The following is a 16,172-nucleotide window of genomic DNA, read 5'->3' on the forward strand; positions in this document are numbered from 1 at the left end:
CTGTTGAAACTGAGGCTCAAAAAGACTAAGTAACTTTTCTCAGCTACACATGTGGCTGAGCCAGTATTTGAACCCAGTTCTGTTTGCAGACAGAACCTGGGCTTTTTCACACCTGCAAACTGGAAACATTAATTGGTTCTTAAGATCATCATCGATGTGATAAAACCTGGGACAGAAATTAGTCAAGACTAGCTGCATCTGCCTTTTCCTCTGGTGGGTAGGAAAAGGAGGAGTATAATGATTTCCTCAGGCATGAAGGTCGATGATGAGCAAAGTGTATACTCTCTAATCTAATGTCATAATTCATATTGTGGAGTAATTATCTGGATAAGTGTAGGGTCTCTGACCTCATTCTAGATATTGTACATTCCATGGCTATTTTCATTTTGGTCCATGAACTCTCTTTGCTCTCATGAGCACCATTTTTATCCCAATCTAATCCTGTATGTTTGTGTTTTTACACAGATTAGTTTTTAAATGTTATATATAATTTGCTTCTGAAACACCATTGCTCAATGACTACCAAATCTTTCTCATTACCAAAATCCTTCTATGCCAACTTCTTCAAGAAATTTGATCACCTTTAGATGAATTGTTAATGAAAATTAAAGCTATAGCCGGCAACATGGGTATCTTTGGGCTAATGGCCAACCAACAGGCCATCTGTGTGAAAGAAAACAGGCTAACAATTTTGGACTCTGGTCTCTTGGGGCTACATTGAGCATTGACCTCACCGGTGCTCACTGAAATTAATTGCTTTTCAGGTTGTATTTTCTCATCACGGAAACCTTCTTCTCCCAATTCAAACCATGTGGGTTAAAATGAGAAAACAAAAGCCAAAACGGCTTCCCACACCCAAAAGCTCCTTCTGTCAGAGATCCCAGTAGCCCCGGGAGAGCTGTTAGAAGTCTGAGAAGGATTGGTCATCATCGCATACCATACATAGGTGGAGGGCTTGTTATTCTCAGTTTCCCGCCTATGAGAGGATACCCCTATTGTTTCTGAAAATGCTGACCGGGACCCACACTTCCAACAAAAATTCCTCTGCCCCTACAGCAGCAGCAAAAGCAGCAGCAGAAGCAACAGCAACAGATAAGTGTTTTGATGAATTGCGAGATGGATAGGGCTTGAGTGCCCCCAGCCCTGCTGATACCAAATGCCTTTAAGATACAGCCTTTCCCATCCTAATCTACAAAGGAAACAGGAAAAAGGAACTTAAAACTCCCTGTGCTCAGACAGAAATGAGACTGTTACAGCCTGCTTCTGTGCTGTTCCTTCTTGCCTCTAACTTGTAAACAAGACGTAGTAGGACGATGCTAATGGAAAGTCACAAACCGCTGGGTTTTTGAAAGGATCCTTGGGACCTCATGCACATTTGTGGAAACTGGATGGAGAGATTTGGGGAAGCATGGACTCTTTAGCCAGCTTAGTTCTCTGTGGAGTCAGCTTGCTCCTTTCTGGTAAGGTTTGGCTTTATTTTTTTTAATTTAGTATTTTAAAAAACAGAGTTAGTGATTTCTGGGTGCTCTCCCCAAATCTCATCAGTGCTGATGAACAAGGGGTGGCTGTAGCAAAGGCACCATTTCTCTGTGAGTCTCCAGTCAATATGTGTGGAAGGATTGAAATGCAAAGGCTCTGTGGCATGAACTGATTTTGCTAGTTTGTCTTCTGGGTGATTGGCCCCTGTGTTAGAAACTCTTTGAGGACCGATTAAATCATCTTATTTGAAGAGATCCCCTTACTATCATGCATTATTTTCCTGCTCCTCATTCTGGAGTGTTTTTCTTATTGATTTTTTTTTTAAAGAACAAACCGGTTTTACCTGCTTTAAAGAAAATCTTCAGTAAAAAATGAAATTCATGCTGAGAAATACAGGGGCCCAATTAAGGCAGTGTATAGATTGTCACTGTTAAAAGGGAACAAAGATGCTTTTCTGTAAAAAGATTTTATATCTACATCCTATTTTAAGCAAAGCAATGAAATTGTAGGCTTTTTTTTTTTTCTTGTAGTTAGGGTCAGGGAGATTGGGGCTATTAGAATTTTTGTTTTATTTTAAAAAATGTTTGCCATGTAGTAATTCATAAAGGGTTTACTGGCCCAATGAAACAAAAATTTAGGCAGTTACCAAAATCTTTAACACAGGAGAGTATATGAAGCCTGTTGTAGAGTGAAGGAGTGGTTGGCCAGTGTGTTGGGTTCAGCGTGTTTATTGCTTAGATACTCCAGATAGTGGTGTGCCTCTGTAGCTCACTCAGCCTATGTGACATAGGTAGAAGGCAGTATCCAAACCTGAACTACATATCACAAATACATTTATCATTGCCATCAGTCTCTCCCCTTCGGTTTGAAAACATTCTAATTTTAATAACGAAAATCGAATTGATATTGGAGATGAATTTGGGAAAATTCACTAAACTTCATGGATATAGGGCATATTAATATAATTTGATTCGAGTATACATAAGTATCTGCTATATTTTCTAGGTGTTTGAACTATTTTATTAAATATTCAAAAAACAAATCCAATGAAATAACTGAGTTGAATACAGTTTGTTTTATAGCTCTCAACAACCAATATTTTGAGAATTTAATAATATTCTTTAAGAATGTGTAACACAAGTTGCTAAAAATTAAAAGATTTTAGGTGGCTTCAGTATTTATGTGGAAATTGTTTAAATAATGTTGACTTCTCCAATAATATGTACTTCAAATAATTATCATGATTCCATTTTTGATTTTTTTTTTTCTGAGTGCCATTATTTACCAGTGACATGAAATCTGGAACTTACTCTATACCAGGGATTATAGTGATGTGAAGCCCAGGTGTCTATAGTTTCTCTGAGGTACTTTGTAGGTTAATACACACACAACTGTTTTCATTCACTTTTTTTACTCCTAAAGCAACTGTGTTATAGCACTTTGCAATACAGGCTTAGAAGAATTGTCATAAAATCAAACAAAAAGGTATGTAGCCAAAATACTTGTTCCATGTCTAGACCTCAGATCCCTGGAAAAAACAGCACTGCCTTTAAAAGGCAGAGGACCAAGGAGAGGAAGTAGGTTCATGTTCTTGTTAGGAAGGGTGACACTAGCAAGGTTAGTTTCTGAGGTAGGTCTGTTGTCTTGATCGTAGCTTGCATTCCTAGTCTAAGCCTCCATGAGCATGACTGCTCAAGGCTTGATAATTGCAACAAGAATCCAGCTAGATAATGTCCACAGCCATAGGAGCCCGTTCCTCTAGTCAAACTCCTGGTAGACTAAAGCAGTGGAGCAAGGGGCTTATGGCTTAAAGGTTTATCTCTCTAGTCCAGTGGGTTGTTTCTTGTTTCTTTTTTCTGAACCCACAGACTGAAAAAAAAAAAAAGCCACTTTTTTTTAGTGAAGGTGGCTCTGGATGACAGAGTTGTTTACCCATAAGAGGGCTGGAGGGGATGTGTAGCTCTCAGAAGCTCCTTACAAATACTCCTAGATTCTGTTGCTTTCCTTTTCTGAATTGAGAATCATTGCTAACTTCAGCTTTCAAACAGGTTCTATTATATTAGCTTTTCCCTACTCTTCCTCATAAAACCAGGCTGTTCTCTTTAAAAAGTTGTATATGTAGAAAACTAACAAAAAAATCACTGTGATTTATCATAGTATCTTCTACGTGATCAACAATGATCTAATAGGAAGTCTCTAGTCTCATGCTTTCATACCTCTTTACTGTGTCACTTGACTTTTTTTTTTTTTTTTTTGAGATGGAGTCTCGCTCTGTCACCCAGACTAGAATGTAGTAGAGTGATCTCAGATCACTGCAACCTCCGCCTCCCAGGTTCACGTGATTCTGTGCCTCAGCCTCTCGAGTAGCTGGGACTACAGGCGTGCGCCACCATGCCTGGCTAATTTGTTGTATTTTTAGTAGAGACGGGGTTTCACCATGTTGGCCAGGCTGGTCTCGAACTCCTGACCCCAAGTGATCCGCCCGCCTCGGCCTCCCAAAGTGCTGGGATTACAGGCATGAGCCACCACGCCCGCCCTTGTCACTTGACATTTTAAATAACAACTGGATTCAGAGATAGCAGACATCTTGTCTGGGGTGGCAGAGGAAACAGTTGTAAGGTCAGGGAAGTGCTCCCAGATGAAACCCCCTTGTTAGGGCTGGTCTCAGAAGGCTAGTGTCAAGTCTGAGTAATCAAGGGTGGAGGTCTGAAAGCTGGGATCGGAGACACCCTTTGGAATTATTCTCAGAGGGAGGAGCTTGCTTTTTTCACAGATGCTCCCTTCCAAGCATTGTCTTTATTGTTTGTTAGGTCTCAGCATTTCCCTTTCAGCCCTGCCCTGGGAGAGCTTCCTGGAAGAGTCTAGTTCTTCCAAGGCGTCTCTCCAGGAGGGAAGGAGTCTTCTAAGTTCATCTCAAAAGACTATGTGATGTTCTCTGGGGAATTTAGGTGGGTGGGCTCTAAATTCTTCTGAAATTATCAGTTTGCCTCCTGAGCCTCTATCTCCCCAAAGGATATCTGTGTGATTGTATCACCTGCTTATTCTCTGTAGATGGCTTACTGGTGAGCTCACAGAATCAGGATTTAAATAGATTGTTCTAGGCTGGAAGGGTGGAAAACCAAAACAAAAAGATACCATTTCAAAATAGGTAAATGTCTGGTTCTGTGTTTGGGTTCAAGAAATAAGTTATGTATATTTAATGTGGGAGAGACCTGGTTTGTTGAAAGTTCTTGTGAATGACACCTAGGTTTTGGGGATACACAAAAGTCATGGAAGACAACATAGGCTCTGCTTGCTAAAAAGGTACTGCATAAGCTGTCATATGTTGTATTAGCAGAAATATGAAGTCCAAATCAGAAATGGTAATCACTTCACTGAAATCTACTGCTAAGAGCACATCCATGAAGCACTGAAGACCTGAGAAATTTAACAGCGAACATAGCAGGCAAACTGAAGGAGGAAACATGGATTACAAAGTCAAAGCCCAACTTGGATAACCATAAGCAAGTTATTTAATTTCTCTAAGCCACATTTTTCTCATCTTTTATGGATGAAATACCCATTTTCCAGGGTTGTGATGAGAATCAAATGTGATAATGCCTGTGAAATGCTTAGCCAGTGAGAACTCTCTTAATAAATGAAGCTTGGGGCCTGGTGCTGTGGCTCACACCTGTAATACAGCACTTTGGGAGGCCCAGGCAGGTGGATCATGAGGTCAAGAGATCAAGACCATCCTAGCCAACATGGTGAAACCCCATCTCTACTAAAATACAAAAATTAGCAAGGTGTGGTGGTGTGTGCCCGTAGTCCTAGCTACTCGGGAGGCTTAGACAGGAGGATCGCTTAAACCCAGGAGGCAGAGGTTGCAGTGAGCTGAGATCACGCCATTGTACTCCAGCCTGGTGACAGAGTGAGACTCCGTCTCAATAAAATAAAATAAAATAAAATAAATAATGAAGCTAGTATAATCAAAAGAGAAGTGTTGCTATGAGAACCACTGTGCTAGTCAAGACTGATCTAATCTGCCCCAGGATGTAGGAGAACCACTTAATATTCATAGATGCTGTCTCTTTCTACAAAACCTCAGTATAATCCTGTCTCTCAAACTTTGTGCTGGCCAATTCCAACTGAATAAACCCAAACACTTTGCCAACTACCCATCTACCCTCCCCTCACTTATCCATTTATCCCTGTTTGTATCTTGTCTGCTTCAACCAGGCCCATCTCCACAATCTACACATTCTTTCCTCTTGGCTCTTGTTCATGCTGTTCCATCCATTTAGAAATGGCATCTTTCATCTCTACTCTGCAAACACAATTCAACTCAATTTGCCCAGGCCAACTCTTCCTCCTGATGTTCTTCCCCTAAGTTTAGGCTCCTTTACCATGCAGATTGTGTCTTTGAGCTTTGGGCAGCCAGATTTAGCCCAATTAGCCTCTAAATCTCTCACAACAGATATTATTTCTTTTCTATTCTCATTAGTACATGTATTTAATGTTTAGTAATTTCTGTTGAATGGAGTTTTATGGTCACAGTAAGAAAATGTTGGTACTTCACAGCGGAGCTGAAAGGAAAAGAGAACATTGTAGAAAGGATCTCAGTAACATCGAAATAATAATATTACATTGGGCCAGGCACGTTGGCTGATGCCTGTAATCCCAGCACTTTGGGAGGCCAAGGTGGGCAGATCACGAGATCAGGAGTCCGAGACCAGCCTGACCAACATGGTGAAACCTTGCCTCTACTAAAAATACAAAAGTTAGCTGGGCATGGTGGCATGTGCCTGTAATCCCAGCTACTCGGAAGGTTGAGGCAGGAAAATCTCTTAAACCAGGGAGGCAGAGGTTGCAGTGAGCCGAGATTATGCCACTGCACTCGAGCCTGCATGACAGAGTGAGACTCCGTCTCAAAAAAAAATAAAAAAAAATTTAATATTAGGTTGGTGAAAAGTAGTGGTAAAAACTGCAGTTACTTTTGCACCAATCTGATAATCAATTTTATATATCTTGTAAATGATATTCACTCTCATCTTAAAAGTTTAGCTTATATTAAATGTTTGATGTAAATAAAGTTGAAAGAAAGTTTCTTCTGTTAGGTGTGAAACATAAAAGATATACTCATAAAAGTGGTTCTAACCAGGGCCTTACTTAAGATGAGGTATTGTATGATTGTTGAATATTACCTATAACATAGTCGTATTTTCTATTCAATAGATATTTATTGAGTTACTGTGTGCCAATCATTCATTCATTCATTCACTCATCTATCCTTTCAATAAACAAAGACTTATTGAGGGTTTCCTTTGAGCCATGTACTGTCCTGGAAACTAGGAATATAAATAAGGATAAATAATTTTTTCCCTTTGCTAAGCTCACATTTTAGTGGGAAAAATGAATATAGGCGGATGAATTGTAAAATGTTGTGATAAATGATTTAATAGAGATATTACAGCAAATAAAGGTATTTACAAAATCTGAGCTTTTCAAGGGCTGTAAAAGTTTTTATTGGGTCCAATGATACAAAATGAAATAGCAATATCTGAATTGAGCATAAAGGTCTGGTGCAGTGGCTCACACCTGTAATCCTAGCATTTTGGGAGACTGAGGCAGACAAATCGCTTGAGCCCAGGAGTTTCAGATCAGCCTGGGCAACGTGGCAAAACCCCATCTCTACAAAAAATACAAAAATTAGCCTGGCATGGTGGCACGTGCATGTAGTCCCAGCTACTCGGGTGGCTGAAGTGGGAGGATTGCTGGAGCCTGGGAGGTCAAGGCTGCAGTGAGCCATGATCATACCACTGCCCTCCAGCCTAGGCAACAGAGCGAGACATTGTCTCAAAAAAAACAACAAACAAACAAACGAAACTAAATTGAACATAAATATTTAATTAAATGTCTAAAAACGTGGAATGTCAACTAAAGAAAATGAGTAGTATTTTGAAAACAACTTGTAGGTTGATTTTTCTGTCTTTGCAAGAACTCCTAAATAGTTGTGAATATTGCCAAAAGTCAGGTCCAGTTATAGTTATAACTTGCTCATAGCCAAATGATTTTGAAACCAAGATGAAAAGGAAAAGGGAAGAAAGGACATAGAGGGAGCAACCTATACAAAGGGGGTGTGTATAAAATAGCAGGGCAGGCTTAAGGAAGCTGAGTGAAGCTGTAATGTAGGATGAAGGTAGAGAATTAAAGTTGGGGTCAGATCAAGAAGGGCCTCACAGGCCATTTTAAGTAGGTTGTCCCTCATTCTGTACATGTTGAAATTTAGCAGAGTGTTTGTTCTATCATGTCATATATCAGATTTATGTCTTGAAAAATTCACTCTAATAATAGTTTTCAGGATGGATTAACATGGTAGAGACCATAGGCTGGGACCAAGTTGGCTTCCTAACATTCCAGGCAAGAGGACTGTGAGGATAACAGGGGGCTTGAGAGAGATTTAGGAGGTGAAACTGCAGGAGTTAGTGATTGGTTGTATATGGAAGGTTGAGAGGGAGGGAGGAGAATAAGTCATTGCTCCAGCATTCTGATTTGGATAATGGTGGTGCCATTCAGTGTGCTGAATGGAGGTGGGCTGGGATAAGGCAAATAATTATTTTGTTCATGTTGATTTTGAGGCTACATGTAAAGGAAGTTTTTTTTTTTGAGACTGAGTCTTGCTGTGTCGCCCAGGCTGGAGTGCAGTGGCACGATCTTGGCTCGCTGCAAGCTCCACCTCCCCGGTTCAAGTGATTCTCCCACCTCAGCCTCCTGAATAACTGGGATTATAGGCACCTGCCACCACACCCGGCTAATTTTTGTACTTTTAGTAGAGACGGGGCTTCACCACGTTGGCCATGTCTTGAACTCCTGACCTCATGATCCACCTGCCTTGGCCTCCCAAAGTGCTGGGATTACAGGCGTGAGCCACCGCACCTGGCCATAAAGGAAGATATTTATCAAAATTTGGCTGCCCACATCTGAAGCTCAGAGGAAGGGGATTGGGCAAGAGATTGAGATGTAGAAATCTTTGGTATATGGTAAGTGAAGCCACGGGCATGGCTATATTTCAAGATTGAAATGAAGGAACGAGAAAGAGCAGATACCCAAAAATTTGATGAAGAAGAAACAGGTAAGGAGCTGACAGGAGAAGCAAAACCAATGACATTCCTATCCTGGGACTTTAGAGAATTGCTGCTGTAGCAGCCATGGAAAGAAATTTTTTTTTTTTTTTTTTTTGAGTCGGAGTCTCGCTCAGTCCCCCAGGCTGGAGTGCAGTGGTGCGATCTCGGCTCACTGCAAGCTCCGCTTCCCAGGTTCACACCATTCTCCTGCCTCAGCCTCCCGAGTAGCTGGGACTACAGGCGCCTGCCACCACGCCCAGCTAATTTTTTTTTTTAATTTTTAGTAGAGACGTGGTTTCACTGTGTTAGCCAGGATGGTCTCGATCTCCTGACCTAGTGATCCGCCTGCCTCGGCCTCCCAAAATGCTGGGATTACAGGCGTGAGCCACTGCGCCCGGCCGGAAAGAGAATTTTAAGAAGACAGTAAGATGGGGCAGCAGAGTAACAGCCTCCGGGCCTGACACTGGAGCACCAGCCTGCAGGTGTGTTATTTTACAGAGAGCCAGCTGCACCGGCAGCATCACCAAACCAGAGCTGGAAGAGAGCAGCTGGCTTCACTCCTGGCTTTCAGGAAAGGGAATGTCTAAAGTTGCCTCCCTTATTTTTGGAATTTTGAACTGATAACCCTATTCTTACCCATCTGGCCAGACGATTCCTTAACTCGTGTTACACCTGCAGAATGAGTTTTAGATCTAGCTGTGACCTCTTCCCCCAGCCCCACCCCCATTGTCCCCTTGTGTGCCTTCAGGAATCTGATCATTCTTCTCTCCTGCTCCTTCCCAAAGGCTGCAGGAGCAGGTGTGAAGACGTGGATGTGCCAGATGCAGAGTCCTGACACTTTTCAACACATCTGCATATTAGAGGAAGTACATACCCATTGCTTGGTGGTTTCATGTCTAATGTGGTATGAGTGTGACAAAGAGAGGGAGAAAATTTGGACTAGCCAAAGAAGCCAGTCAGGCGTGGGGTTTGAAGGGCATCGTGGGCGGCTGTCATTTGCTCTCTGCTTGTCACAGCCCCTTGCCCAGGGCTTGACCAGTGAGGTGTATGTGCTGGTCACACCCATCTCAGCAGATCTGTCAGCTTTCCCGCTTTTGTTAAAGGGTGATATCATGCTTCCTGGGGGGAGCACTGGAAGACAATGCTCGGCCACTTTCCTCCAGATACAATAGGCGGAGTCAGGAAGGCAGTATTGACATTGCTGGGGCTGGGGAGGCACTCACTGCTCTGCGGCCGTCAGATGGTGAACCAGCTTAACCTTGGCACACAGGGCCTGGGTTGTGCAAGGCGTCTGGCTGCAGAGCCAAAGGGGACTCCACCCTGGGGACAGGAGTGCTTTAGACATCTGGGAATCTGGGATGGGCTTCAAATTCTGATCCCTGTGTCAGAAACAACCACAAAACAATAAGAGTACCAGTAATAACAAAAATGACTACCCTAGGTTGAATGCCTTTATGTGCCAAGTGTTAAATATGATTTTTAATATTTCACAACTTTACACTATAGGTATTATTATTTTTTTAATAGACAGGGAAACCAAGGCTCACAAAGGTTAAGTGACATGTCCAAGGTTAAAATGTAAGTGACCAGCCAGGTGTGGTGGCTCGTGCTTGTAATCCCAGCACTTTGGGAGGCCAAAGCAAGCAGATTGCTTGAGCCAAGGAGTTCGAGACCATCCTGGGCAATATAGGGAGACCCATCTCTACAAATAATACAAATATTGGCTGGGTATGGTGGCACACACCTGTGGTCCCAGCAACCCGGGAGGCTGAGATAGATGGATCGCTTTAGCCTGGGGGTTTTAGGCTGCATGAATGTCGTGATCATGCCGCTGCATTCCAGCCTGAGTGACATAGTGAGACCTCATCTTAACAACAACAAACCGGAAAATGGCGGCCATCCATTATTTTGGATGCCTAACATTTCAAACTTTCAAGAACTGCCGTGCTTTCCCTCTAGGTGATTCTGATGGGTCTGCCAATCACTGGTCACAGAATGTCCCAGCCAACTAACAACAGCAGTTGGTTCAAACAGAAGATGCACAACCCAACAGGGCCAGTTAGACTCTTTCCCTGGGAATTTATGAGCACTTTGAAAGCAAAAGCCTCTCTTTCTTCATAGAGGACACTGTATCCCTGGAGCTACCAACTTCGCTGACCACTTGAAGGAAGCTAGTCTTTAGTACGAGAGAATGAGGCCAATAACAAAAGATGGACCAAGACAGGCACTCTGATAGCATTTGAGACGTGGGTCCAAGGATTTTCAAACACGCAGCCCTGCCTCTTTCAGTTCTGTGAGCTAGTTTCTTTTATTTGTTTAAGCTATTTTGAGTTAGCTTCTATCCCTTGGAAGTGAATCATCCTGACTGACCACATGTCTCAGTAGGAAATGATGGAGACAAGAGTTACACTGAAAAATGACCTGAACCCGAATCCTGGGCTCTTTAAAACACCTCACTGTGCTGCCTTCGAACTAGTGTTTCATGGTCACCTCAGGTTAGTTCCTAGAAAATGAAGGTAACAGCATTTCTTCATGTGGTTTTGGGGAAGACCTTTTAAAAAAAATAACTTAAAAATACTTAGAACAGTGCCGGCTCATAGTTAGCACTCGATAAAAATCAGATGTTATTAAGATTTGGTTATAAATGAAACTGGTGTCTCATATGTTACCTTATGTTACTCCTTTCAAAGCACATTTTTATCCACGAGGGCAGGCAACCCACATTCCATGCAGATGAGGCTCCCTGGCTTCCCTTGGTGTCCTAAGTCTGGCCTTATAGTGGGGACAAGGTGAGAGAGGCTTACACCTGTGGGTTCTTGGGCTTCTGCTAAAAATGTGGAGAGTCGGGTGGAGAGTCGGGTGGGGAGATTCCTCTCTGTTGCTCAACGAGCTGGCAACATTGGGCTCCCAACCTTTTTCCTGCCAGCCCCCAGTTTCCTCTCATTTCTGGGTCGTGACTGATCACGGGCTCTAGGATGATCTGTCATTTGAAGGTTCCCACCTCATTTATCCCAAACCTATTGATTCCTATTTCTTGACAATTTTTTTACTTCTAGTGGAATCTGCCTCACTTGTGACTAAGCTTGTTGCATTTTTGGACCCATCCTGGTGTCTGTGTGCACATGCGTGTGTGTGTGTGCATGTGGGTGTGGATGCACACGTGTGAGAGAAAGAAATAGCTCTCCCCCCATTTCAGCACATATTTGCTCTAATTCCACCTTCCTTTAGTCTCCATTCTACTTTGTGTCCAATACCCCTTGCATCTGGAAAGGATGTTCTAATCTTCTGGGGTTGATTTAAACATCCATCTATTTTATTAATCATTGCTACCACTTCAGAATCGAAGAAGACGGTGGTGGCAGTGGTGATTGCTTGTGGTCAGCAGCTTTTCAGGAGACAGTCTTTGCCTGCCTCACCAGCCTCTCGTGGTTCTCAGTCCCACATACTATGATGGAAGTGTACTCAAGTCATACCAGACTCTTTGCAGTTTCCAAACATTCATGTTCAAGCATTTATGCCTTTGTGTATGCTGGTTTCTCTTTCTAGCATGCCCTTGTCACCTCTTCTTCACCTGCTTTACTTATTTATGATTAGAGGTTTAGCTCAGGTGTTATATCTTCTAAGAAGTCTTCTTTAACCTCCTCGCATGGATTAGGGCCCTGCCTTAGCCTGAGGCGAAAACATGGCCTGAAGGCCAAGGCATATGTGCAGGTGGATTATGTGGGATAATGATCCCAGGAAGCAAGAGTGAGGGACTAGTGGAATGAAACTCTACAAGGATGCATTGTCAAGCTGGCTGCAGCGACAGAAGCCTGGTGCTCCAGACTTTCTGAGGAGCCTTATGAAATGAGACTTAGAACTTCATCCGCAAATGAAAAGGGGAGGCATTCATCTATTGCTATTCCCTTTGTTCAAGGGTTATGTAGACCTAAGAACCTAGCAGGTTACCATAGGTGAGGAAGTAAGATATACTCGACTGGGCTCTAGGTGAGCTACTTTGAGACTGCACCTGCTCAAGGATCAGAAGTGGCCCTTGCAGGAGCAGCCAGGGCAAAAGCTGGGATGAGGAGGGTTTGCACTGGTGCCTAAGAGGTTTCAGATACAGGCACCTTGGTACTTGCCTTTGTCATAATACTTAGAAAATTTAATTACAATGTACAGTTTACTGGTTGGTTTTGCCCGCTGGACTATGAGCTGTGTTTGGCATTTCAGTATTTCCAGTACCTGACTTGATGTACTAGCTGACGAAGAAATGCTTTAATAAATAGCTTTGCTGGCTGGGTGCTGTGGCTCACGCCTGTAATCCCAGCACTTTGGGAGGCTGAGGCCAGCGAATCACCTGAGGTCAGGAGTTCAAGACCAGCCTGACCAACATGGCGAAACCCCGCCTCTACTAAAAATACAAAAAAAAAATTAGCCAGGCGTGGTGGTGCACACTTGTAGTCCCAGCTACTTGGGAGGCTGAGGCAGAAGAATCACTTAACCCGGGAGGCAGAGGTTGCAGTGAGCTGAGATCGTGCCATTGCACTTCAGCCTGGGCGACAAGAGTGAAACTCTGTCTCAAAATAAATAAATAAAAAAAATAGCTTTGCTTTGTATTAAATGTTCTGAGTTAGGGTTACCTTAAGTGTGTTGTATATATTACTGCTGGCCTGCAAGATGATTTGTATATATATTTCATAAATAAATTTTTTTTTTATTTTATAAATATATTTTATAAATTTATATACATATTTTATTTGTATACATATGTATTTTTATATGTATAAATATATTTTCCATATTATATGCAATATGCAAAATTATTTACATATATAAACATTTATTTGCATCTGTTTATAGATATATGTATATATGTGTGCATATGTATCATATCAGTCATGTGATTTCATGATTAGTCCTCGTTAATATGAGGATAAGAAAAAAAGTTAATTTAAATATAATGATTGATAGAAAAATTGCACAGGTGATATGTAGACTCAGTAAGAATCACAAAAGTGATCCATGAATGAATGCAATTTGAGAGACACTGCTATAACCAGATGAGTTAGCCACTCGAATCCTGTCCTTTTTAGAACTGTGTATGTGCATGTGTATCCAAAGAAATAACAAAAGCATTTTGGGCGTGTAATTAATGCTATCCTAGTGACATAAACAAAGTGAAACAGAGTTTCACAGTGATCGACCTGTCTCAAAGCACCGTCACGGATTCTAATTTTGTTTCTCCCAGGAAACCTGGAAAGTGGGTATTTGTTAATAAAATTATAGACAAGACCTTGGGCACAGTGGGCTTCCTCACAAAAGGCCCAGCTAACGAGCAGGCAATGCCCGTCAGTAGAGAAATGGTTGGTCAGTTCTACTCATCCATTCCAGCTAGCATCTACTGAACCCTTTTTATGTACTAGGAATCTGCTAGGCATTGGAGTTCCAAAGATAGTTAAGAGAGGGACTTGAACTCAAGCAGTTGCAGTCTGGTGGGTGAGAAACCCTGCCCTAATAAAGGCAGATGGAAACATGGAAACTGGAGTGAGCAATTCTGAGAGAAAACAGGGATCTCACCAGGAGGGTGACATTTGAGAAGGGAGAACAGGATTATGGAAGATCAGGAGTGGAAGTGAGGAGGAGGGGCATTCTAGGCAGAGGGGAAAGCATGAAAATTTGGGATAAAATGTTTAAGAGACTTTTATGCAGTGGTTTTTGCGGCTACACAATGGGTTCATTGAAGAAGGTGGCAGGGATTAAAAGTGGGAAGATGGGTTGGAGAAAAGGTAATTTGGTTTGAGATTGGCCAAGTGGGCAGGGACAGAGACACTTATAAGAGCCTTTAGGGTATAGGATGAAGCGGTGTGAGGTAGTGAGACGTGTCTGGAGATAAGAGGAGGACAGCAGGTAGGTCTGGGAACCTACATCGAGAGGTAATACGGGTAGAGAAAGAGGAGACTGATGATCCTGAAAGGATGTGCCAAGGAAGGAGGAGCTTCAACTATATCAAAAATTGGAGGAAAGAGGCCGGGCACAGTGGCTCACGCCTGTAATCTCAGCACTTTGGGAGGCCACGGCAGCTAGATCACGAGGTCAGGAGATCGAGACCATCCTGGCTAATACAGTGAAACCCTGTCTCTACTAAAAATACAAAAAATTAGCCAGGCGTGGTGGCATATGCCTGTAGTCCCAGCTACCTGGGAGGCTGAGGCAGGAGAATCGCTTCAACCTGGGAGGCAGAGGTTGCAGTGAGCCGAGATGGCGCCACTGCACTCCAGCCTGGGTGACAGAGCGAGACTCTGTCTCAAAAAAAAAAAAAAAAAAAAAAAAAACTGGAGGAAAGAGCAGGCTAGGAAGAGAGACTAGAGAATTAGCAGCTGGGTGCTGTTGCGAAGCATTTTTAGTGAATGGGCAGGGCTTGGGCTTAGGAGAAAGTGGGAAGGGAGGGAGATGGGGCGGGTAAGCATAGATTCCTTTCTGGGAGATGTCTCACATCCTGGTAGGTTCCTATTTCCATGTGCTTTCTGTAAGCTTAATTATAGGGTGAGCTGCTGAAAGGGGTTAGGTCCTTCTCTCTGCCGTCATAGGCTCAAGGTACTAAAAGGATATGCGGGGGTGTAAAGGGAGTAAGGAAAGAGCTCTGCCATCACAGGTACTCTCCTTCCCCTGCATGTGGTCCCTTAAATCACCTGAATTAGGCGATATTTTAGTTTTATAAATACACTGTAATGAGGGTAGGTATTTTCATGGAGAGGCCACGCACAGTTACCTGGAGTAACAGAATACTGGAACTGTCAGAGACATAAAAGATTATCTAGCCCAGTGTTTCTGAAATCTCTTAACAGAATACCAATTCTAGGAGACTTGCATAATCTTTTTTATTGTTTTTGAGTATCACGTGGAGCTAATGTTCTATATTTTGAAAAATTCTGGTTCAGTTTAACCTGCTCATTTTACAGATGACAACACTGAGGCCCAGAGAAGTCAGCATTTTGTTCAGATTCAGTCAACTCAATAGAGGTTAAATTTCTTCATTTTATTTATTCTTTTGAGATAGTCTCACTGTGTCACCCAGGCAAAAGTGCAATGGCATGATTTCGGCTCACTGCAACCTCCGCCTCTCAGGTTCAAGCTATTCTCCTGCCTCACCCTCCTGAGTAATTGGGATTACAGGTGCACACCACCACACCCGGCTAATTTTTGTATTTTTAGTAGAGATGGGGTTTCGCCAAGTTGGTCAGGCTGGTCTTGAACTCCTGACCTCAGGTGACCCACCCTCCTTGGCCTCCCAAAGTGCCGGGTGGGTGGCGTGAGCCACCGCAGCTGGCGAATTTCTTCACTTTAAAAGAGCATGGAAGGCAATGTAAATTACAGCTTAATGCACGTACAGTGTAGTCAGACAGGCTGAGCTTGCATCCCAGCCTTACTACTGTATCAGTTAGTTGTTGCCATGTAACAAACTACTCCCAAAACTCAGTGGCTAAACCAACATTTATAATTACTCCCATGTTTTTGGCTCATTCAAGGTTCAGCTGATCTATGCTTGACACAGCTGAGTAGCTCTGCTTCAGGTTGCAGCAGCTGGGGCAGCTCTGCTCCTTGCTGTAG

General features: G+C 42.7%; 1 protein-coding gene across 5 annotated transcripts in view; it reads left to right on the top strand.

Moving 5' to 3' along the window:
- The window catches only part of TEK (TEK receptor tyrosine kinase), a 120,950-nt gene continuing 105,820 nt past the window's right edge, over positions 1,043 to 16,172 (top strand). For 3 of the 5 annotated variants that reach the window (NM_000459.5, NM_001290077.2, NM_001290078.2), the window contains exon 1: positions 1,043 to 1,460. In NM_000459.5, the coding sequence (NP_000450.3) occupies positions 1,409 to 1,460 (52 nt within the window). In that variant the 5' untranslated portion in view covers positions 1,043 to 1,408. The remainder of the gene's footprint in view (positions 1,461 to 16,172) is intronic. The other 2 variants (NM_001375475.1, NM_001375476.1) reach the window with 1 other exon arrangement.

The sequence above is a fragment of the Homo sapiens genome, chromosome 9 (genome assembly GCF_000001405.40).
Source record: "Homo sapiens chromosome 9, GRCh38.p14 Primary Assembly".
Taxonomy (NCBI): Eukaryota; Metazoa; Chordata; class Mammalia; order Primates; family Hominidae; genus Homo; species Homo sapiens.